The 22687-nt window shown below is 42.1% G+C and overlaps 1 protein-coding gene and 1 long non-coding RNA gene across 6 annotated transcripts in view, besides 6 other annotated features; one reads left to right on the plus strand and one right to left on the minus strand.

Annotated features, from left to right (window-relative positions):
* The window catches only part of FBN1 (fibrillin 1), a 237397-nt gene extending 227044 nt beyond the window's left edge, over positions 1–10353 (minus strand). For 2 of the 4 annotated variants that reach the window (NM_000138.5, NM_001406717.1), the window contains exons 1-2: positions 10219–10353; positions 9250–9594 (exon numbers count right to left, since the gene is read on the minus strand). In NM_000138.5, coding sequence (NP_000129.3) covers positions 9250–9413 — 164 coding nt within the window. In that variant the 5' untranslated portion in view covers positions 9414–9594; positions 10219–10353. Of the gene's footprint in view, positions 1–5691; positions 7746–9249; positions 9615–10218 lie in introns of those variants that run through there. The other 2 variants (NM_001406718.1, NM_001406716.1) reach the window with 2 other exon arrangements.
* Positions 9328–9377: a silencer, noted in NCBI's record as "silent region_6417". NCBI's record gives its function as "represses an Ori minimal core promoter by ATAC-STARR-seq in GM12878 lymphoblastoid cells {active_cell/tissue: GM12878}" and the evidence as "EXISTENCE:reporter gene assay evidence [ECO:0000049][PMID:35858748]".
* Positions 9478–9607: a silencer, noted in NCBI's record as "silent region_6418". NCBI's record gives its function as "represses an Ori minimal core promoter by ATAC-STARR-seq in GM12878 lymphoblastoid cells {active_cell/tissue: GM12878}" and the evidence as "EXISTENCE:reporter gene assay evidence [ECO:0000049][PMID:35858748]".
* Positions 10018–10197: a silencer, noted in NCBI's record as "silent region_6419". NCBI's record gives its function as "represses an Ori minimal core promoter by ATAC-STARR-seq in GM12878 lymphoblastoid cells {active_cell/tissue: GM12878}" and the evidence as "EXISTENCE:reporter gene assay evidence [ECO:0000049][PMID:35858748]".
* Positions 10238–10317: a silencer, noted in NCBI's record as "silent region_6420". NCBI's record gives its function as "represses an Ori minimal core promoter by ATAC-STARR-seq in GM12878 lymphoblastoid cells {active_cell/tissue: GM12878}" and the evidence as "EXISTENCE:reporter gene assay evidence [ECO:0000049][PMID:35858748]".
* Positions 10391–10915: an enhancer, noted in NCBI's record as "H3K4me1 hESC enhancer chr15:48937944-48938468 (GRCh37/hg19 assembly coordinates)". NCBI's record gives its function as "activates a minimal SCP1, AML or CMV promoter by ChIP-STARR-seq in primed H9 embryonic stem cells {active_cell/tissue: H9 hESC(primed)}" and the evidence as "EXISTENCE:reporter gene assay evidence [ECO:0000049][PMID:30033119]".
* Positions 10428–10517: an enhancer, noted in NCBI's record as "active region_9376". NCBI's record gives its function as "activates an Ori minimal core promoter by ATAC-STARR-seq in GM12878 lymphoblastoid cells {active_cell/tissue: GM12878}" and the evidence as "EXISTENCE:reporter gene assay evidence [ECO:0000049][PMID:35858748]".
* FBN1-DT (FBN1 divergent transcript) lies at positions 10449–16904 on the plus strand. 2 transcript variants are annotated; one of them, NR_183871.1, is made up of 2 exons: positions 10449–11720; positions 15598–16904. It is a non-coding gene; the product is annotated as an FBN1 divergent transcript (long non-coding RNA). The 2 variants fall into 2 exon arrangements; NR_183872.1 differs by having other exon boundaries at positions 10449–11474.
* Positions 16905–22687: the final 5783 nt, after the last annotated feature.

The raw sequence follows: 22687 nt of genomic DNA on the forward strand, positions 1-22687 counted from the left end.
TTGATATAGTATAAGACACCCACAATGCAAACTTGACTATATTCCTAATCCAATTTTATTCTATTGATAATGTGGCTACTCCATTTATAAGAAAAATAGTACAGTTCAGCTCATTACAACACCAATTCTATTAGCAACTGCAACCTATTTTTACTTATTAGTATAACCCCTAATTTAAAAAATTGAGGTGGATTACACCAACAGATACATACATTTGAGGCTATAAATAGAAATTGAAAATAAAATTCCATACAGAAGAAAGTTAAAACATACCAAAGTTAATAAATTAGAGTGATTGCCCATTAAATTTATTTCATGTATAATCTTAAAAGCTGATTTTCTTAAAAGCAAATGGAAAATGGTTAGATGTTTTGAAATTCTCATATTTGAATAAAACAAAACATACTGCTTCATTAGGAACTTTCATTTTATTCCTGACAGTTGTGAGTTCTTTAAATGCAGAACTGTGGACAAACTAAGATCAATGCCCTAACATGAATCTAACAGAACATGCAAACACAATATTTATGGAGCTTTTTCATTCTGAAGTTACAGCAGCAAAATACAATGAGGCATCCTCAGTAGAGAACTAAGCCAACTGAACTTGATCAAGTTAGAATTAAAACTTAAAGTATCTGATTAGCCTTCTCAAAGATCTATTGCCTCACAGTGGTAGCTGGTCTCCAAAGATGGCTCCACTTTCTCCCCTCCCAGCAGACACATGATGCTCCTCACATCCAAAGGTAGGTCTTAATAGTCCATGCCCTTCAATCTGGATGAGGCCTATGACTTGGATGGAATTCCAGGTCATGCGATTCCAGGCTAAGTTTGAAGAAAGTCTGGTAGTTCCCACTTTTGTGCTCTTGAGAGATCCTGAACTGCCATGGAAAAAGTCTGGCTATGCTGCTCTAAAGACCATGTAGAGAGGCCACGTATAGAAAGGGGACAACCTGAGACTATATAAAGGAGAATCAAGGAAGCCAGGCAATGTCGAGGACATATGAGTCCATGTGACCCCAGCCAGCCAGCCCCCAGCCCTTCGAGTTAGCCTACGGTCAATATGTGGGATTAACACATGTGACCAGGGTCAGGAGGCTGTTGTTCAAGATCCAGCCCCAACAGACACTCACTCTGAGCAAGGCCTAGTCGCTGCATCTGGGGCTCAGTCTCCCCATTTGAAAAAAAACACATTCAATGGCTCCATCCCGGGGGCAGGTTCAGGCAGGAGACTGCATGAGAGACAGCTTTAAAACTTGGAAGGCCCCCAGCAGAGCCAGACAAGTGGCTCTTTGCTTCCTTTATTCCCCTCCTCAGTGGGTCCATTTAGATAAACCACACCCAAGTAAACAGGGCTGCAGGCGCCAGTGCCTGGTCACAGAACCAGATGCATATGTGAAGAAGTCATACTGCCTGTTCCAGCCCAACTGACATTGTGGGGCGCAGAGACAAGATTCCCCACTGTGTCCTGTCTAAATTCCTGAGCCACAGAATCATGAGAAAGAATAAAATTGTTGTTTTAAGCCACGAAGTCTGGGGCAATTTGTTACGTAGCAATAAAATAACTCAAACACTCACAAATGAAAATACTTTGTTTCATGGTAGTAGAGGGCCTAGGCCTGATCTCGTTTCCCTTTATTTTCTCTTTATGGTGCTACAATGACTTCGTGTATGGTAAGTTTGAATATATATGGAGGTGGGAGCATTCTAGGTCCTCCTCGCCTTTGTCTTTCACAACCAACTAGTCAAGTACTGTCTGCATTAACTCTGGAACCACCTGAGTCTCTTCTTTCTTCACCCCTTTCACTGAATTTGCTCAGACCATCGTGGACTCTCACTGTGACTCCTATATTAGCCTCCTAAATCCAAATCTCCCTGTCTTTAGTCTCTCTTCTCTCTAATCATCTACCCTTCACACCTCTACCCAGTGGCAAAGATCTGATCATGTTCCTATCTTAGAATCCTTTACTAGCTCCCCGTCCTTGCCTTTCACAACATCAGTGACATTTATATTTCCACTAGTCCCTCTCCTTTCCCTAACAACATTGCCACCTATGTACGGGCTCACAAGATTGCTCAAGGTTGCAAACTGCACAGCTCCAGAGGGCACTCGTTTCATAGACTGCACTACAAACCATGTCACTTGGAACCATGCCGTGCCAACCCTGCCCAACTGCAGTCAATGTCCTAAGACCTCAGACACTTCATATCCCTTTCCCTTGATGTATTTTTCACTCATCTTTCCTTTATTTCTCAGCTATACTTACTCCAAGCTCTAGTCTATATAATTAACCATACCCAGTTAATCAGCTCATCAAAATTGCTCAGAGTTCAACTATCAAAAACTATTCTATTGAACATGTGCCGCATACCCAGTTCCTAGATGTTCCTAGAGATAAATAAAACAAGCAAGATCTCTGCCTTCAAGGAGTTCTCACTCCTAGTAGACAGTCACTTTTTATCACGTAGATCAGAGGTTGTTAAACTTTTTCTGTAAAGGACCAAAGAGCAAATGTTTCAGTTTTATGGGCCATACTGTCTCTGTTGCAACTACTCCACTCTGCTGCTGTAGGGAGAAAGCAGCCATACATAATAAGTAAATAAACAGGCATGGATTTGTTTCAATAAAACTCTATTTTCAAAAAAAGTGAGCTTGGTCTTCAGTTTGTTGACCACTGATAAACTTTTTTTTTTTTTTTAAGACAGGATCTTGTTCTGTCGCCCAGGCTAGAGTGCAGTGGCATGATCATAGCTCACTGCAGCCTCAACCCTCTGGGCTCAAGTGATCCTCCTGCCTCAGCCTCCCAAAGCACTGGGATTACAGGAATGAGCCACCATGCCCAGCCCTAATAGACTTTCACTGTAAAGTCACTTCTGATCAATCCCATTCCCACAATGATGCTTCCCTTGGCTTGTAACAGCATCTGCCATCAATAAATGTTGAGTCTTTCCACATAGCAATGGTGGGAGAAGATTCTTGGGAAACGAAGGTATAAAAGGTATGAAAGAAAAAAATTTACCAGCTACAAGATTTATTATAACTGTAAAGCAGTAAAATATTAAGATTAAGAGCTCCAGCTATGAAGCTAGATTTTCCAACTCTACCACTTACTAGTTTATGTCCCTGGAGTAATTACTGAAACTCTGCATCCCTTGTTTCTTCATTTGTTAAATGAATAAATAAGCTTAATTTTCCTCATAAAGGATTTATGTTTTAAAGGAATTAGTATTTGCAAAGTACAATCATAAGTGATACATCAGAGCTTTTTTTTTTTTTTTTTACCATTATGGCTGCAATTTAATGTAAAAAATTGGGCTGAGTTTACAGGCAACCAAGGTTAAAAAATGAAAAAGAAATAATTAAATAACTCATATGACTGGTCGTGATTTAAGACACATACCAATTTCCACTGGAAAGAGAAATACTTCTTGCAACCCTATTCAGAGAGATTTCTCACAGGGGACATGACAGCAAGAGGGTTCTGAACAACATAAACAGCAATGCCTCCAGCTCAGAAGCCCACACAACGCCCAGCAGGCTGCCTGCAATGGTTACCTACCACCCTCACACAAGTCAAGGTCTAATATTAAAATATAATACGCTGTCCAAAGTCCCACTGGCTCTAACATCCTATGATTCTTTCTGTTTTATTAATGTCTTTGCAGAAAGTTTCTTGTTGGACTAAATAATACTGTGTGATTAACCATACTTAGGATTTGTGAACTAGCATGAAAGAATATTAGGAATTTTAAGTGGAATTTTACCAATGTCTTGGGCCTGCATTTTTGTCTGGTGGAATGAAAAACCAAAACCATAACTAAAATTAATGGAGAAAGAAAAGTTAACGTTAAGTTTTGTCTTTAGAACTTAACCTCTGCATACCTCGGCTCTCACATCTGTGAAGGGAAGCTTATGAAAGCACCCAGCTTGTAGAGTGGCTATGAGGATTCAATGAATTATCATATGCAAAACAGTAAGAACAGTGCTTAGCAACATATAGTGCTTAGTAACATATAGATGTTACCTAAATGTTACCTACCATGGCTGCAATTGTTATTATGTATTTGTTTAGACTTAATACCAGACCCCCTTTCCAGGGACGCTGTCCTTCTGTGCACTCACGGTTCCTGAAGTACCCCCAGGGTTATGGGGTATATGTCTCTGGCCTTCCACAGAACTAAACTCAAGCTAGCATTCAATCAAGACTTCCTGAATTAATGAACTTTCTGAAACCCCACTTAATGATGAGTTAGTGGTAAAATGCTTATAATAGGATTCTTGTCTTCAATGATTTAACTATCTAATGAGAAAATCGACTTGAACAATCATGAAACGCTAAACTATCATGTGCCTGAGTTAGGCCACATAACTCAGGCCTGATATATTATTGATGTCGGTTTCTTCAAAGAATCTCATGGGAAAAAATTCTAAGTTGCTTAAGCAGGCCCATTTGCTGGGTTCATGTTTAAAAACAAAGAAATTGTTAAAAGAATGTATTTCTCTTTCAAGAAAACATTTGTAAAATCTTATTTTCACATTGAAAATAAAGCTAAAACTCCCAAAGTGGTTAGGCTGATTGGCTTACTGGAAGAAAAAGCCAACAAACTGGTACATGAATACTCTAATAATTTTTTAGTATTTTGCTTGATTAGAGTCATCAGTATAATACTATAATTTTTAAAGTATATGCTACACAAGACGATAAAGGAACATTTTAATATTCTTTAAAATTCCAAATAAGGTTGAAGGGAAGTCTGTACTCCATTTCCATCAGCTCTCATCTCATTTCACCATAGGCTGATGTATGTTTTAATTAATTTGTATTACCAACTTACACATTTTTATAAACAACCTCTATGTCTTCAATGTTACAAAATGAGTCACATAAATAAATATTTTGTCTCTACCTTCTTGTTTCATGTGTGGAATTGCTGAAATCTTCTATTTAAGAACACTATATCCTTTTTTAAAAAAAAATTGTGTCCCAATATTTTAGCTTAATCTTTTCAATAAATGTAAACCATACCCCTGCAGGAGTCTTTCCCCATATTTAATTATTAGCCCATCTGACTTCAGGTGAAGTCTTAAAGTCCCCTTTATAAAGTAAAATGGACTTTATAAAGTCTACAGAACTTTTTCTGTATTCCCTATTACAGTTCTTTATTTTAATAACAGACTTCTACATAACTAATCCCTTGGAGTTTGCCATCACATAATCTACCATGGGTATGAACTGTTCCATGTGTATTTTTCTGGCAACAAGACCTCTGGAAAAAAATAAACAAATAAACAAAGACCAAAAGGAATCACACACAAGGGGACAAATTGTGTCAAATACAACTGGTCTCATGTACCTATAAACCACACAACAAGGGCAGAAGTCTCAATCCATCTTCTCCAAGGTTTGGGAAAGGAGATCTCACTGTGAAGAACTTTTCCCCCTTTGACAGGAAACAGTAATATTTCCTTACTTGGGAGCTAAAGCAATAAGGCAATCATAAATAAATGGTGCATAACTATTGCTATTCAAGTACAGTTGAGTTTTTTTTTTTTGGACTGTCTCCCACACTTTTTGCCTAATCACCATTTAGAGTTTAGCTGAGAAAAATTCCCATGAATTGAAAGTCAAACAAATAGCGTTATGATTTTATTATTTTTCATAAACCCATTTCACATATCAAGCAATGCCCAAGGAAAAGAAAACTACTATACATTTATTATTTCACGTGGTTTTGAAACTTGAACAAATCTCATTTGAAAATAGAGAAAAATGCAATTTTTGCAGAGTAGATGGGGACCACACTGATTCCATTTTTAAAAAAGGATTTCCTGTAAAAACAGAAATTGGCAATTTACTCTAAGAAAACACAGCAGAAGCTGGGAAGAAACTTGAGGATGCCTAAATTTCCACTGTGGAACAACTTTTGCTGCCCAGTGGGGAGAGAATAAAAAAAAAAAAGAACACCTGCAACAGGGGGGGAGGAGAGGAAGACAAGCTGGGACTGCACATCCAGTGAGCAGAAAATGAGGCAGTTTTCTAATCTAGGAAGAGAGGGAGCTGACAAGAAAGGAATATATATGCATTTGAAGAATACCAAGGCGGATTTTGTAGTCACCTGCCACATCAGAGAAAAACAAGAAGGCAGTATTTGCTGGGGAGAAGGAACCAGTGCACAGCAGATACTGATGAGTTTAAGGTACCTTTTAACTAGAGGAAAGATTAGTGAGGTGCTGAAAGTTGCTGCCACCAACTGGGCATCAGGCAGACTCGGGGGTTACAAATCACTTTCACTTCATAAACTGTGCATCTCCAATCAGAATGGTAAACAGGTTTCACTGTAGTCAAAGAGGTGAGTTTTGAAGCCGGTAATATTTTAACAGACAAAAACAGAAATTTTAAGCAATAACTGGAAAAATGTAGTACATAACTGCTTTTTCTGATGATTTATACAGCAGGGCACCGTTAAAGGATTTATTCATATGAGACTGTAACGGCAATAAGCAGAGGGAATAAATTTAAAATGTTATTCAAATTTAACATAAGAATTGGGGTTTGCTTAAAATCTATGGGAAAGACTTTGATCCAGCAATTCTATTTTTACTAATTTATACCACATATAAACACGTGTATGTAAACACAGGTATGCAGAAGAAAGTTGGTAATAGCAAAAGACTCAATGTAATCTAAAGAGCCATCACTAGGGAACTGTTCCAGTGACATAATGAGGTTCTATACAACAAGAAAATGGGGTAGGGCGCAGTGGCTCAAGCCTGTAATTTGGAGAGGCAGAGGTGGGTGGATCGCTTGAGGCCAAGAGTTTGAGACCATCCTGGCCAACATGGCGAAACCCCATCTCTACTAAAAATACAAAAAATTAGCCGGGCTTGGTGGCACCCACCTGTAATCCCAGCTACTCTGGAGGCTGAGGCAGGAGAATCGCTTGAGCCGGGAAGGTGGAGGCAGTAAGCCAAGATTGCACCACTACACTCCAGCCTGGGCAACAGAGCAAGACTGTGTCTCAAAAAAAAAGAAAGAAAATGAATGAGGTAGATCCATATGAGTTAATAGATGGATGCATTAAAGATACATAAAAAGTAAGTAAAGTTCAGAATATTGCATGTACAATACATTCCATGTATTAAAAAGGATACACACACACATGTGTATGTATACATATATATTTGTGTTTATTTGTACATGTATACATATGCCTAAAAGATTTATAGAAAAATACACAAGAAAATGGTCTCTGAAAGGTGGCAGGGAAATACTTTTAATTGTATATATTTTTAAATTATTATTTTCACCCCCGTGTATGTGTGTGTGTGTGTGTGTGTGTATATATATATATCACTTATTATAAAATCTTATAATTAACATGAGAATTAGGAACACACATAATTACAATTCTATTAATACCCTGTTTTTAGGAAGGCTTTATAAATAGTTTACAATAGGATAAGGTCTGTGTTAATGATCAAATACTGTGAGGAGCACAGAGAGGTATCTCTCTATAATCACAAACAAATTTAAAACCAGAGAGAAAAAGCACAAGTGTGAGTAAAAGTGTGGCATCCTGTTAAGCAACAAAGTAAAGCTTAGTTTCTTTTTTCACATTCCCAAGGGAACACACTAGTTGGTGACAGCCCAGAGAAATGAGACAAATGTCTGACCAGGCCTCACACCTCTCTGCAGATCTTCAGCCACAGAATTAAATCCCCACGTCCTTTATATACAGGAGCAATCCTATCAGAATAGATATTAAGATATTATTATGTAGGAGAAATGTATTTTTGAAGGAAAAATACTGGACTAAATGAGGTCCTCTTGAGAACATATGAAAATCAGAGCCTCAGTCTACTTATTGAACTTGCCATGTGCCTTGCACACAGGGCAATAAACATCTGCTGTCTGATCAAGGTCAGGTTTACCATGATAAGCAAACTTCCTTCCAACATTATCGGAATTCTGGGTTTATTTTCCACGAAGGCCAAGATGGAACCGAATTAATCATAACTATTTTCTGTGCTATTTTATCACAGCCTAAGTGCTTGGCTCATACAATCATCTTGTCCTTACTCCAGACTAGGAGTCAAAAACTGGTCTGGTGAGTTTACTTTTTCTTCTCATATCTGGGCCATACAAACACAAATTTTACTACATATACATGACTATAACACCTCATAACAAAAAAAGAGTAAGTGAAATGAACAGCCACATATCCAAGTGGATACCATCACTTGGTGACCCAGAGCTATATAATAAAGCTACAGAACCACTCAGGAAAAGAGCATCAGCGAGAATGGTAAGAATTTAATACAAAATCTCCCTATATATACTGTCTGAATTTATTTAACAGGCTCCTCCAAGAAGATAAAAGGGGTCACTGACAGTCCATCCTGTTGTTTCCATGGAGGCTTTAACTTAAACAACTGCAGACAAATTTCTCTTAAAGGAAATGTATTCCCACTGTCCTTCAATACAGGAAAATGACAACCCTTAGTCAAGTCTAATTAAAATTTTTCCGGCTGAAACATCTGTAACAGCGGCATGGGAAGCCAGTGAAATGGTCAGTTGCATGTACACAACACAAACACCACTAGTTAAAAATACTCCCTTAAGGCCGGCCACAGCAGCCTTACTGCTGCAGTGAAACGGAGAGCCCCACACAACTCAAAAAACCAGTTCTCAGAACCACTTGCCCTGTTCTGCTTCCAATGTAGACATCTAAAGGAAGCATTGCCCAGAAAACCCAATCCGTAATTTTAATAAGCATAATTTACGGAAGAGTCAACTACTGTGTGATTTCTCCTCTGACTGTCATGGGAATCCCTTCCTTTCCTTGCCCCCTTTCAAATACAGCATCTACCAAGATGACCCCAAGGAAAGTACTTTCCTCTAGAAACAACCAGAATTGATATTGCAGGGAAAGGAACGGGCTTCTCCTCTTATCCCACTCGCAACTCCTCCCCTTCTTCCCCAAGGAACTCTTCTCGCCTCCCAAAATCTGCCTCAACAATGGCCCAAGATTCCATTTAACCACGTCCTCTCCTTTGGGGCAGAAATCTCTGGGAGTAGGGGCAAGGTAGTTTAACCACGAACGGGGTGGGGACTAAACAACCCTAGCACCTCTAAGGTGCCCCCAGGAGGTCTTGCCAAGGAGTCTTCCACAGGGAGAGTCATCCTGCCCGTTGTTCTGGATCTTGAAACTTGGGAGACCCACACCAAAGGAGGGAACCGGTTCCTTTACCCTTTAAGCGCGTCGTGTCCTCCACCGCCTCTTCTCTTGGCCCGACTGGCTCTGGTTTCCTTCACGTTCCCAGCCTCCAAATTGGCGTCCGCCCCATGGCTCGTGTAGGACGCTAAAAGCACGGTAAATCCCAGGGCGATCTCCAGCAGACGCCCTCGACGCATGATGCCGAGCCGCCACCGGCTCCCGCCGCCTCTTGCCGCGCCCGGGGCTCGGTCTGCGGCCGCCGCTGCGCCCTGAAGCGCACCGCGCCGCCGGGGTCCCGCTATCCCGCCGCCCGTCCCCCGGGCCGGGCTCCTCCCGCCTTCTCCAGGCGCTGCTCCCACTTCAGGCGGCCCCTGCCAGCTGCAACACAGAGACAAATCCCCGAGGCGGGGAGACTTTCAGGGCATCGGGATGCTGAAGCCTCGCGGTCCCCATTCCCAAGCCCAACCCGTGCGCCGCCTGCGCGTGGCGCAGTTAATTTGGGTAAGGGAAGACCGTTTGGTCCACAGCTGGCTGGAAAGCCCAGGCCCCCGGCGGCAGCAGCCCCGGCCGATCCCTCGGCCTCCCGGGCCCCGCCAGAAGAGCGCGGCGCAAAGTACCCATATCCCCAGCGGTCCTAAGCCCCGGGCGAGCTCTCTGGGTTTATTTTTTTTAGCGGCACGAATTGCGCGCGATGCGCGCTCTGAACGCCCCACTCCTCAGCCTGCCCTCTCCGCCAGGCTGGAAGCCAGCCGCGCCGTCCCCGCCGACTCCGGGCGATGCCACCGCCCCCCGAACATCTGACGCGGAGCCCGGCACCAAGAGCCCCGGGCCAGGAAGCTGTCAGGCAGGGGAGGGCCAGCGCCAGCTGTGGACGTTCCGGGACAGCCCCTCACCCCAGTCCCTGTCCCTGCCCTCGGCGCGGCGCAAACGCAAAAGCCTCCGTGGCCGCAGCTCCAGCCCCGGTGGCCGCCCGACCCCCGTCGGGACCCCGGCTGCACCCACTGGAGAAGCGGCGGCTCCGACTCCCGAGGAGGCGGCGGCGGCTGCTCCCAGTCGTGGCCGCTACAGCCACTGCTCGGCTCCGCTCGCAGCTGTCCCAGCTGTGGCTCCTGTCCGCTTGTGGCACCCACAGTCTCTGCCGCGGCTCCCGCAGCCCCCTCCTTTCCCCACCTCTTCAAGTATCGTCCGCGCAGCGGTTTCTCGCGAGAGAAATACTTTTTTTAAAAAAAGAAAGAAAAAGAAAATGACACCCCCTCCTTCGTCGCCCTCATCACCACCCCACCCCCCGGCCCCATCCATCCTCCCTTTCCACTCCCCTTTGCCAGCCTCCGCCTCGGTGCGGGGCCTCTCGCTCGCAGGATTAGCGCAGTGGGAGGAGGCAGAGGTGATCAGGTCCTGCCCGGCCTGGGACTTTTTGTCTTGAGGTGGGGAGGGGAGAAATGGGAAGAGGTGGAGTAGCGGTTTTAGCCCGCTCTGCGGCTGCGAGGTTTAGATCCGAGATTAACCTCTCCCGCGATAGGTGAAGCCCTACCGGAGCAGAAAGCTGTTCCACCTGCACCAAGAATGCGCGCTGGAGACGGTTGCCCCGGAGGCCCTGGCCCGAGAGAAAACCAGTCCCCGCTGCCCGCGCCTCCCGGTAGCGCGCTCCCTGCGCCTCTCCCGCCGGACACTCAGCAGACGCCGGAGGCCGGGAGGCTAAGACTGGGCGCGTCGCAGGCCGGGACCGCGGCAGAGGCTGCTGTGCCGACCGAGGAGAGGGCTCTGCCGCCCCCACTTGCCCTGGGTGTCGAGAGCCCACTCCAGACGCGGCTCTTCTGAGGCTCAATTCAAGCCACCCAGGCCTGAATCCAGGGTGCTCTCTCTAAGTCGGTGTCCAACCCAGGGGCCTGTAAATGTTGGAACCTAGGATGTAGGATGGGAGCGGTGAAGGGATGGTCCTCTTGCCCAGCCCAGATTAAGACTGGGGTTCATCTGGAGGACTCTACTTACACCCTCCCGGTCCCCTCGCCCTCCCCCACACACAGCTGCCTCTCCCCAGGATATGCGCGGCACAGTGAATTTAGTGGCTTTGAAAGGTATAGTATTTGTGGCATCCTTATATGGATAATGCCCAATGATGCCTGCACCCTGTAACAGTTTAGGAAGGCCTGAAGTCGCACACTGGGTCCTGGCTGCTGTAACTGGAGACCCCCAGAAGATCCCCTGCAAGCAGCCACCAGCCTGCTGTCAAGCCAATAATAAAAGCTCAGCACAAACAGGTACCCTGGGAATGTATCTTGTTGAAAGGGATTTTCCTTATTTGTAACCGTTTGTAAAGGGGCCCAGACAGTAGGGTAGAGAGACCTGGGCAAGTTATTCAACTTCTTTCCAAATACAAGATGGGACTTGTAGTGTCCACCACACAGGGTTGTAATGGTGATGATGGACATGCTGAACTGCTGTGATACATGAAGATGAAACAGAAAAACTGTGGGAACTATGAGCTGATCTAAAGCCATAGTCCTGTAAGTATGTATGTGGTGTACTTTAAGGTCTCACCTGCAAAAGGTCTCTTAGCAGATTCATGAATGAGAGCCTTGGTCACACACTCCTGGCTGAGTAAAGGAGATCATTCATTCAAGATGTTTTTACTGAGCACGAACTGTGTACTACTTAGTGCATTGTTGAACTAGACTTCAACAATTTTAACAAGGCAGGTTCAACAATTTGAACACGACTGACTTCAACAATTTAGTGAAAAGGGCAGAAATGTGTCTCCCCTCACACAGCAGGTAGTCAACAAGGAAAGGCAGACTTGAAACAAATAATGGACCAATTGTTAAGCGCCAAACAGGATAAGTACTGGGTGCTTGCTTGGAGGATATATAACAAGGGGACTTGACCTAGGCTAGGGCTGATCAGGAAAGGGATCCCTGAGGAAGTGATATTTAACTTAAGTCTAAAACATAACTAGACTCTACTTAGGATAGCAGTTCTCAACCCTGGCTATGCAGTAAAATAATAAGAGGCTTTAAAAAAATTCTGACACCAGGATGGGCATGGTGGCTCATGCCTGGGCCTGTAATCCCAGCACTTTGGGAGACCAAGGCGGGTGGATCACTTTAGACCAGTAGTTCAATAGCAGCCCGACCAACATTGTGAAACCCTGTCTCTACTAAAAATACAAAAATTAGCCAGGTGTGGTGGTGCATGCCTGTAAATCTTGCTACTCAGGAGGCTGAGGCACTAGAATCGCTTGAACCTGAGAGGTAGAGATTGCAGTGAGAGGAGATTGTGCCACTGCACTACAGCCTGGGCAGAACAGAGTGAAACTCTGCCTCAAAAAAAAAAAAAAAAAAAAAAAATCTGACACTGACACCAGGCCCCAACACCCAGAGTTTCTGATTTGAGTAGTCTGTAGTGGATTCTTCACATGGATATTTTTTAAAGCTCCCTGGGTAGGGAGGGGTAAGGAGGTAATTCACACTGGGAAAAGGATCTGAGCAGAGGGACCATGGATTAGGAGAAAGCAGGGCTGTTGGACATCCAGAAAGGCCTTGTCCTGCCCACCAGTTTTCTGGGCTGCTCTGCACCCACAGGGGACTCTGGAAACTGCATGCTTTCCTTGTACTCCAGCAGCATGCAAGACATGCTGTGCCCTTTCTCTCAGAATCTTACACTCAGTGACATGTTGGTCAGCAGCAACCAAACACAAGCCTTTTCTAAGGCTTCTGCCCAGGAAGTAAAGGCCAAATCCTGGTGCCCTGCAAGTCCCCTCTTCCAACATTTCTGGACATTTCTATTATTTCTAACTCAAACTGCCTTCCAGGGTTTCACCTCCAAGGGAGGGATTTGGATTAAACGTTTTTACCTGGCCTTTGCTTTCCCCGGCAACCTCCTCTTTATTCATTGGCCTCTTTCTCCAATAAAGGAAAGATTCTTCCTTCATATTGGGTGGCAGCTCCAAGCCATATACTCCCCTCTTTGAGCAATAAGTCTCATGTTCTGACCACAATGGTGGAAGATTACAGGGGAAGGGGAAGCAGGGGGAACTTGATTACTTAAAAGTAAATACATTTTAAATATACAAGAACTATTCCCGCTATCTAGGCAATCAACATGTATTAGAGTAGCATGCTACTTATGACAAAATTCAGTAACGAATAATAAAAATCTGTGTCTTTGCAATAAGATTTTCTTGATGCCAGATGATTGAGGACCCAACTCTCCTTAAACCTATCACAGACTTTTTTTTTTTTTTTCGTAATAGGTTGTTTTGCACTGTTTGCAAATTAAGTCCATGGGCTAGAATTCCTTGCTTCCATCTCCTTATTTCAAAGAATTCTATTCACCCTAAGAAACCTTGCTCAGATTCCTTCTTGTTCGTAGGTGTTTTAGCTCATGCCCATCTCTCTTGTTCTAACATCATTGCACTTATTAACTGAATCATTCACTTAATAGTTAATACATAATTATAGTATGCCTACTATATGCCAAGTGCCATGTCAGGCACTGGACATTAGGGATATTTCTTCTGTTGCTATAGTGAACTATTAGGTTGGCACAAAAGTAATTGCAGTTTTTGCCATTTAAAAGTACTAGCAAAACCGCAATTACTTTGGCGTCAACCTAAATATATATTTTTTTTCTGTAGCCATTGTACTTACTCCCCCTAGCTGTATGATAGATCCTTAAAGACAAGGTGGCATTCCTTATTCAAGGAAACTTGCTAGTGTCCTGAAAACTATGACAAAACACAAATACTTTGTTTGTTGTTGGATCAATTGAAATCTTTCTTTTTTTTTTTTTTTTTTTTGAGACAGTGTCTCGCTTTGTCACCCAGGCTGGAGTGCAGTGGCGCGATCTCGGCTCACTGCAAGCTCCACCTCTGGGATTCACGTCATTCTCCTGCCTCAGCCTCCCAAGTAGCTGGGAATACAGGCACCTGCCACCATGCCTGGCTAATTTTTTTGTATTTTTAGTAGAGATGGGGTTTCACCGTGTTAACCAGGATGATCAATTGAAATCTTGTGGCATTTTCAGCTTCAAGCCACTCTCATCATTTTATACCTCCTGTATAAATATCTATGTCAGCAAGGGTTCTTTGTCTACAAGCAAGAAAACTAGCTATGGAAAATTTCAGCAAAAAAAAAGATATTTTAAGTATTATCAGGTTATGAGATGGCTCATTGAACTTGACTTTGTGATAAAATGGGGAGTAGTACAGTTCTGGGATAATGGTAAGCAGAGAACCTCTTCAGGCTGATGTCATGTGAGTAAATCAATTCCAACCATTTTCATCTTTTTGCCACCCCTCTTGGAGTTCAAATTCAAAGGACAGGGTCCTTTTGACGTAGCTATTTAGGGAACTTGGGCACAATCCTGGCCAAAGGATGATGGAGTATCTTGATGGATAGTCCCAACAAGATTGCATGCCATGGGAAAAGGGTTCATCTATAAAAGATGGGCAAAACACTATTTTGGTCATGCACCAAAAATTGAAGGGCATTAATGCTTGTCAGGAGAAAAAAAAAAAATCCAGATGTCCATTACATCATCTCAAGAACTCTCAAGATGTTTAGAGCTTACTGAAATAAAGCATTTTCAAGCTTTACTTGGAAGAAGCATACTCTAAAATCAGCTTCTACGTCTTCCTTTGCAAACTAAATCATGACTTCACAAAAAGCTAACTAGACTTTCATGTAGCCTCAGTTCCTGCCATTGATGGTGGCAAATAGATCACTCATGATACAACCAACTATATCTTCAAAAATTGGCTTCTGACTTTTAGTGAGTATTGTAGAATTTTGTAGTTATAAAAATGTAATGCATATATCACAGCTACCAGAAACCATACCTATTTATATATAGAGAGAGAAAAATAATACATTCACATACATAACCACATTTAATCTTTGCCACAACTTTTGGTAGATTGAAAAACATAGCCACAATATTTCTTATCTTCTTCCATCAAGAAGTAGCGTCTATTTCTCAACTCTTTGAATCTGAGTTGGCTTTTTATTTTTCTTTTACCAGTAGAATATCATGGAAGTAACATTGTATGACTTCTAAAGCTAGGCCTTAAGAAATCTTGCAGCTTCCTCTTTTACCCTATTAGATGTTGCCCTGAGATGGATAGGCCTTCAAGAAGTCCAGGATGAAAGACAATGTGGAGAGAGACAGCCCCAACTCTCTCAGCTACATCAAGACTCTTCCTGAGCTACCAACTAAATGTAGTCACATATGTGAGCCCAGCAGATCAGCCCAACTGCCCAGTTAACCCATAGAATACATATATCATTGTTGTTTTAAGCTGCTTATTTATTAGGGTGGTCTATTACGTAGGAATAGATAAATAATTGAAACCTTATAATATAAAATAATTTTTCTCAATTTTAGAGATGAAGAAACTCACATTGAGAAGAGTTAAGAAACTTGCTCAAATTCATAAAATCAAGAGGAGAGGTGGATGTAATTAAAACCAAGCCTTTGACAAATCAAGGAAACTTTTCATGTCGTCACTGCTACCTCATCCGTGGCCACAAAATCTCAGTCAAGATCTAGGGTTGATGCAAACTGGAGTCATTCCCAGTATCCACAACACTTCTCTTGTGTCTTCTGGGAAGCTAAGATTTCATCCCTTGAGTTTCATTGCTGCCTGAATCTATTGCATCTTACTTGAGAGCCTCATTTATTCCATGCTACAAGATCCATGCAAGATTCCAGGATCACCAAGATCACTCCAGGAAATGAAGAGATCAAGAGAGCTGCCATGGACAAGTCTCTGCCTCTCTGCTTCAGCTTCTAGTTCCCTCATAATATAGGACAATTCCTTGTACAAAACGGGTGCTCCATAAATATTTGTTGAATGAACTTCTTTTCTAGATGGTGACGTGATGGCAACCTTAAAACCTCATGCCATTCTTCCTCATCATTCTCTGGGTTAAAGAAAGGCCTAAACTTTTCCAGCAATTGACAGAGCCTTGGTGTGTCATATTGCCTCATTGTGCCTCAGTTGTCCCATCACTCCCACTTGGGAGAGGATATGAATGAATGGATCTTAGTTTTAAAGAGCTGAAGGTGGAATTCAGTTGCCTGATTGCTAGCATAGATAGTACCTCTATGTATGTGCCATTTCTTTTTTTTTTTTTTTTTGATTGTTTAGTTCATTTATTTGTGTAACCAATTTTGATTAAAAGCTGAACACTGTGCTGGAAGCTGAGGCTTCACTGGTGTAGGGATGCCATTTCTGCCCCCTAAGAATCACAAGGGCTAGAGCATTGCAGGAGGTCCTTACAGCAACAATTACCATGAACTAAGCCTTTGCTTAGTGCAGGCACTGTGTTAAGAGGGAAGTTAGTAATGTTCTTCCCATTTTAGAATTTTGTAACTATAAAAATATAATGCAGGCTTAAGAAAGAGCAGTTTAAAATGACATAAATAAACCTTTGTTTTAGGGAAAGTTTGCATATGTTTGTGCTTCTGTGTTATACTAAGAATCCTGAGCAATTCCCACTTCAGTATAAAATTCTAGTGGTGTGAGGGCAAAAGGTGAAAAAGAGTTTTAAAAAGGTAAAAATTTATACATGCTAGAAAAAAAATGAGAATTGTTTTCATTTTCATGATTCTTCAGAAAATTTATTTATTAGAAATATTTTAACTACTTAAATAAAAGATTTTTTAAAGTATTTTTTTCATAATCCCAACCACCCTGTTTTAGTTTTCTCATTTTGCCTCTAGTCTTTGTCCATATGGTGCATTTTACATAGTTGTAACCCTGGTGGATGTATAGTTTTATCTTCTGCTCAACAAGGAGGAGAATTTGTTCAGCATTTGAGTGTTTAACCTTTGCATTTTGTGGATGGGGTCCCTGGGTGAGGTCTGCCTAGCCATCTTTCTGGCAGAAAGCATGTACAACTGTTGAATTATGTTATTGAAATCACTTTCATTACCTCAATCCCCCAAAGCAAACAGTTGCTCTCCACCCAAAACAAAAGCTCTGGTTCCCAGACTTCATTTCACTTGTGTTTTCCGTGAGTTCTGTGACCCACCCTGGTATTCCCTGTCATTTTTTCTACCAGACATAACAGATACCAGCCCAACGGCAGAGGCGAATAAAGCGGAGGCCTGGACAGCAGGAAAGGACATAACATCGTATCCATCACAAATTAAAAACATTCTCTATTAGCTGCATTCAACAAGTGTTACCAAACACCAGCCTTGTGTTGCAGACTAGGGGAGACACTACAGAAGCCACCAAAATGTGCCCATCCTGCAGCCTGCTCTCTCTCAGGAGGGAGAAAATGAGTGCTTATAGCAGAGGTCAGCAAATTTCTATAAAGTGATAGACAGCTAACAAATACTTTAAGCTTCATGAACCGTAAGGCAAAAGAAAACAAATTTCCACATGCATTTTACTGACAAAAGTAAAAATTTGTCTATGGACACTGAAATTTGAATTTCATATAATTTTCATGTGCAATGAAATCTTCTTCATTTGATCATTTTCAACAACTTAAAAGTGTAATAACTATTCATAGCCTGCAGGCCATATAGAAACAAGGCATGGGGACAGATTTGCTCTGTGCAGCCATAGTTTACCAACTTCTGGAATTAAAGAAAAAGGCCAGCACAGAACCTGGCTTGGGCATGATTCTCCAAAGTGGCTGGCACCAAGACAGGGATCCACAGAGGAGAGAGGTGGGGTGGGGTGGGGTGGAGTGGTCCAGTCAGAAGACTTAATGGAAGAAATGAGATTTGAGGATCGCCTTGAAGGGAGGGTAGGATTTGGCTACATGGGGAGAACATTCCAGGCGGAAGTGATGAGCATGAGTCCAAGGCACAGAGGGAGGGAAGATTATGGGCCAAAGGGGACATGCAGGGTGTTTCACCATCCTTCACGGTGACATACTTCTAGCTCTCCAAGGTTTCTGTGACACACCCTGGGCTATGTGTTTATGAAGAGAAGGGGTATTATGGCCTGTAGGAGTCAGTCTTTAAATGACTACGATTAATCATATTATATGAATGTTAATAATATCCATAACCCAAAACTTGTTGAAAACACTGAGATCCATCTGATCTCTGGTTTAAACCTGATGAAAGGCAAACTAGACCTTATTTTTCTCCATCCAGAGGCTTTCCACATTTCATTTGGTCACCTATTTTAAATAATTTTTGTAAAGAATGCACTTTTTCTTCAGGATCTTAGTATTCTAATGATACCAGAAAATGCCACCTGCCCTAACCCAAATATTCATGGCAAATATGAAAATCTTGATTAAGTTATGAGTAACAAGTAGCTTTGGTTAGTGACTTTTCTGTTTTCCTACATCTGTTTTTGTTTTCACTCTAGATCTGAATTTTCTCTAAAAAGTTAGTAATTAGTGCATACCAGTAATTACTTGATACCTAAAAAAATGTTTTTCCTGGCTGACTTGATCTATTCCCATGATTTCACCCCTTGGTCATAACATACTACTAACTCCCAAATCTGAATCTCCAGCCCAGACATTTCCCTAGAGCTTCAAATTCAGATGTCCAAGTTCCTGCTGGATGCCTCCACCTAGTCCTCCCACAGGCGTTCAGACTCAACTGTGGTAGCAGCCTCTACGAAGGCCTCCAAAGATCCCCCTTCTGGGTACTCATGCCCAGGGGTAATCCCCTCCCCTTGAGCATGGCCTGGACCTAGTCACTGTCTTCTAACAGACAGAGTATGGCAGAGGCCATGGGATGTCACCTCCAATATGAAGTTACACAAAGACGCAGGAGCCTGTCTTGCTTGCCCTTTCTTGCCCTCCTGCCTGCCCACGCTGATAGAAGCCAGCTGTCACGTTGTGAGCTGCCCTGCAGGGAGGCCCTATGCAAGAAACTGATGGAGGCCTCCGGCCAACAGTGATGGACTAAGGCCCACAGTCCAAACCACGCTTGATGAACTGAACTCTGCTATTGATAACAATCACACAAGCAAGCTTGGGAGTCTTCAGATGAGACTGCAACCCCAGCCAACACCTTGATTCAGCAGTGAGAAACGTTCAGCCCGAGGCATCTAGCTAAGCAGTGCCTCATTTGTGACACAGAAACAATGAGATAACAAATGTGTAGTGTTTGAAGCCACTAAATGTTGAGGTTATTTGTTACACAGAAAGAGGTAACTAATATGTCAGCAAACTCCCTAAACTTGTTTCTTCCCCTAAATTCTGTTTTAATTATTAGGACCACCATGTTCTCACTCACCTATGCTTGCAAAAGGGTTTATCAGAGGTCCTTTATCTGTGTTTCTCTCATCTATGAAAGCTTGAATGCTTTTTGTATTTTTCAATCACAATTGGTATGATTTAGTAGTCTTAAAATTTGTTCCCTTTGAGTTCCATCTGGAACTCAAGCCATTTGTGCTACAGCTTGAAATTTCTCAATTTCTGCATGATTCTGCTAGCAACAATATTAATGACATCATACTGGATATCTTTCCACAGATTAAAAAAAAAAACTTGGGGAAGTGTCCAGAGTGATAGAATAGGAGAAGGAAGAGTCTGGGAAATACTAGAAAATTCTGCCCAGAGTTTGAAAATCAACTACATAAATAGGGATGGAACAAGCATGGAATTAGAAGACAGAAGACTATGGTCCTGTCTCGGCTTTGCTACCCATCTGCTGTGGCCTCAGAAAGTCACTTTACTTCTAGGGTCCTCCCTTTCCTCTTTAGGAAAATAAGGGAGTTAGATTTCAATGAAAGGCAGGCCACGAGTGGGCTATTTCAGGATAAACCAAGGAGCTTGTTACACTTCAGATTCCTGTCCCTAACAATCACCCAATGCAGATTCAGTAGGTCTGAGGTGGAGTCTAGGAATCTGTATTTTTAAAGTGTCCAGTTCTCTGAAATATAACAAGGTATGGAAATCCATGAATTAGATCCTTCCAAAGAATATTTACAATTCTAGTGCTGTAATTGCGGAGCAGTGTTTATTATATGGCAATTCTACCTTGCATGCACATTGTAAAACATATCCCGCAAAAAGCTAATTTTAAAGGATAATTTTTTGTGTGTACATGTGCCTGTACATGTATGTTTTTTTCATTTTATTTTCTTCCCAAACCCTAACTGATCTCCTTGCATCATCACTAGAACACATGAATCTCAGGAGAACCACTGGAGACCGTGACAGGTCTATGGAAATTGGGTGAAAAGGGGTACAAAGGTCAAGAACACCGAGACAAACATCCAAGGTAGCAGGCGAGCTCCTTCTACTCGTGGTACTGCTTGGCATCACATGGAATACTGAGAAGTGTAAGGGGTGTGTGTGTGTGTAGTTAGCCCTTCTTGTTCTCACCTGAAAGCCCATCTCCATACAGTGTCATATCACAAAAAACAGAATCTGTCTTAATGAGAAAACATCTGACATGATCTTCAGTAAAAAGTAACATAAGTCATCACTGAAGGACTCTCATGAGATGTGAAGGGAAGACTGTGCCACACCACGCACAGCACAGTTTTCTCTCTTTACTGTAGAATCCCCATGTCTCCCTCAGACCTTAATTTCCCCATCTCCAAATCTTTCAAATCCACCCGTACACCTGTGCTTGCCATGGTTGTCCTCCTCTCTGCCCCTGGCCTCTTTCCTAAGATTCCTCAGTCTACCCTCCAGGCCCACCAGCCCCCTATTAGGCAGAGTTATTTCCCCTTCTCTCAGCTTCTCCCATTTGCTCAGCCTGGGATTCGTTTTCAGTTGAAAGGGAACACAGGATCACAGTTAATGTCTAGTATATTTTTAACCCTGTACACCAAAAAAGAAAAAAAAAAAGGGAAACTAACAATGTAAGGCAATTAGTGCTAAACCAACAGAGAATGGGAGTTCTAGATGTTCAGAGGAGAGGAAGAGACCTCTATGCCACAGTGACCAGAAAAGTTTTCATGGAGAAAGGAGGAGATCAGCTGAGGGTTGAAAACTTGGGAAAAATCTTTTACCGGTGAACGGTAGAGCCCTCCTGTCATATTGGAGGAGAAACTCTTGTACAAGGAAAGACCAAAGATAGGAAAGTATGCAACCTGTTTAGAAGAATGGACAAAACTGGGTGGAATGTATAAAGAAGAAAAAGAGAAAGAGAAGATTAGAAAGTGGGTTGGGACCAGAAGATTGAGGATTGTGAAGAAATGCACATTATTATAGAATGTAAAGCATGGGAATGACATGATTTAGAAAATTAATATTTTGTCACCATGCAAGAAGAACTGGAAAACAGAAATCTTTTAAGAAAGGAGATCAGGAGGTTAAGGCAGCAGCTGGGTGTTGGTGATGAGCATGTGCTCCAAAGATTTGTCAGTACACGTGAAAATGAATAGAAAATTATAGTGTCATTTCATGATAGAATCATTACAGCTGAATGAATGATTGAATATGAAAAGCAATGGAGAGAGGGAAGCCAAAGATAACACTGAGACTTGAATTTGGTTGGCCAGAGAATGGACAGAACTAAGGAATTGAGGAGGAGAAAGATGCGAATGGGGAAGAGAGAAGATGGTGAGCTTAGTGTTTGTTACATGTGGCAGTTCTGAAGGCAGCCCAGCCGAGGTGAAGTAGCCAGAAGGCAGAGGTTTTGGAGCAATTTTGCCAGTCAGTAAAGGAGATGCAACAGTTTTGAAGAGACTTGGGATTCAGACTTGTGAGCATCTGTAAGAAATTAAATTTACCAGCTAATTAAAATTGCATTTTCCTATAGTTTAGACTTTTGATTCCTAATAAACCTGCAAATTGACCTGGAAGGGATAACCCTCTTGATAGCCAGCATTTGTTCTTTGAGTTTCAGATATATTCTTGGAAACAGATTCTCATGGCAAGAAGGGTAGGAATCCTGTGTAATTAAAGAGGAAAGGAGGGACAACCTCTAAATATCAGAAACAGACTCTGCTGCTGGCAAACACAAGGATAAAAAAAGACCTACATGTCTCCACTTGGAATGACAGTCAGAATTTTGGGAGGTGATAAAGAAACTACATTCATGTAATACATTCATGTCTGGATAATTTGTGAATAATAAATATTATTAGTGCATGTAGACACTCAAATGATTATCAATTAAAGAAAGCTTTGCAAGATGGTTTTGTTTCCAAGAGAGAATTTTTTTTTGTTTAAAAACTGTCCAAAATACACAATAATAAATTTACATTTCCAGAGATAAATATTCAGCTCTTGACTGAAGATTTGAGAATACATTTGAATTACATTCTTGATCAGGAACCAGGAAGTATATTTCATATTTATTGAGCAAAAATAAATATCCACTTTCACTAGTCTGAGTGCCCATCAGCATGAGATAATCAACATAAATACATAAGGTTGATACCGTTAGCTGAGCTGACTTGTCCTTGTTTCTAGGATGCACATAACTATTTTCCTAGGCCCCTACGGATCCAGGGAACTCAGGTTGCTCGGCACTGTTTGGGGCCCTTTCCACATTTATTTATCTGCCCCCTGGCCCTCACCAAGCCCAA

This window comes from Homo sapiens, chromosome 15 (genome assembly GCF_000001405.40).
Source record: "Homo sapiens chromosome 15, GRCh38.p14 Primary Assembly".
NCBI classification, from domain to species: Eukaryota; Metazoa; Chordata; class Mammalia; order Primates; family Hominidae; genus Homo; species Homo sapiens.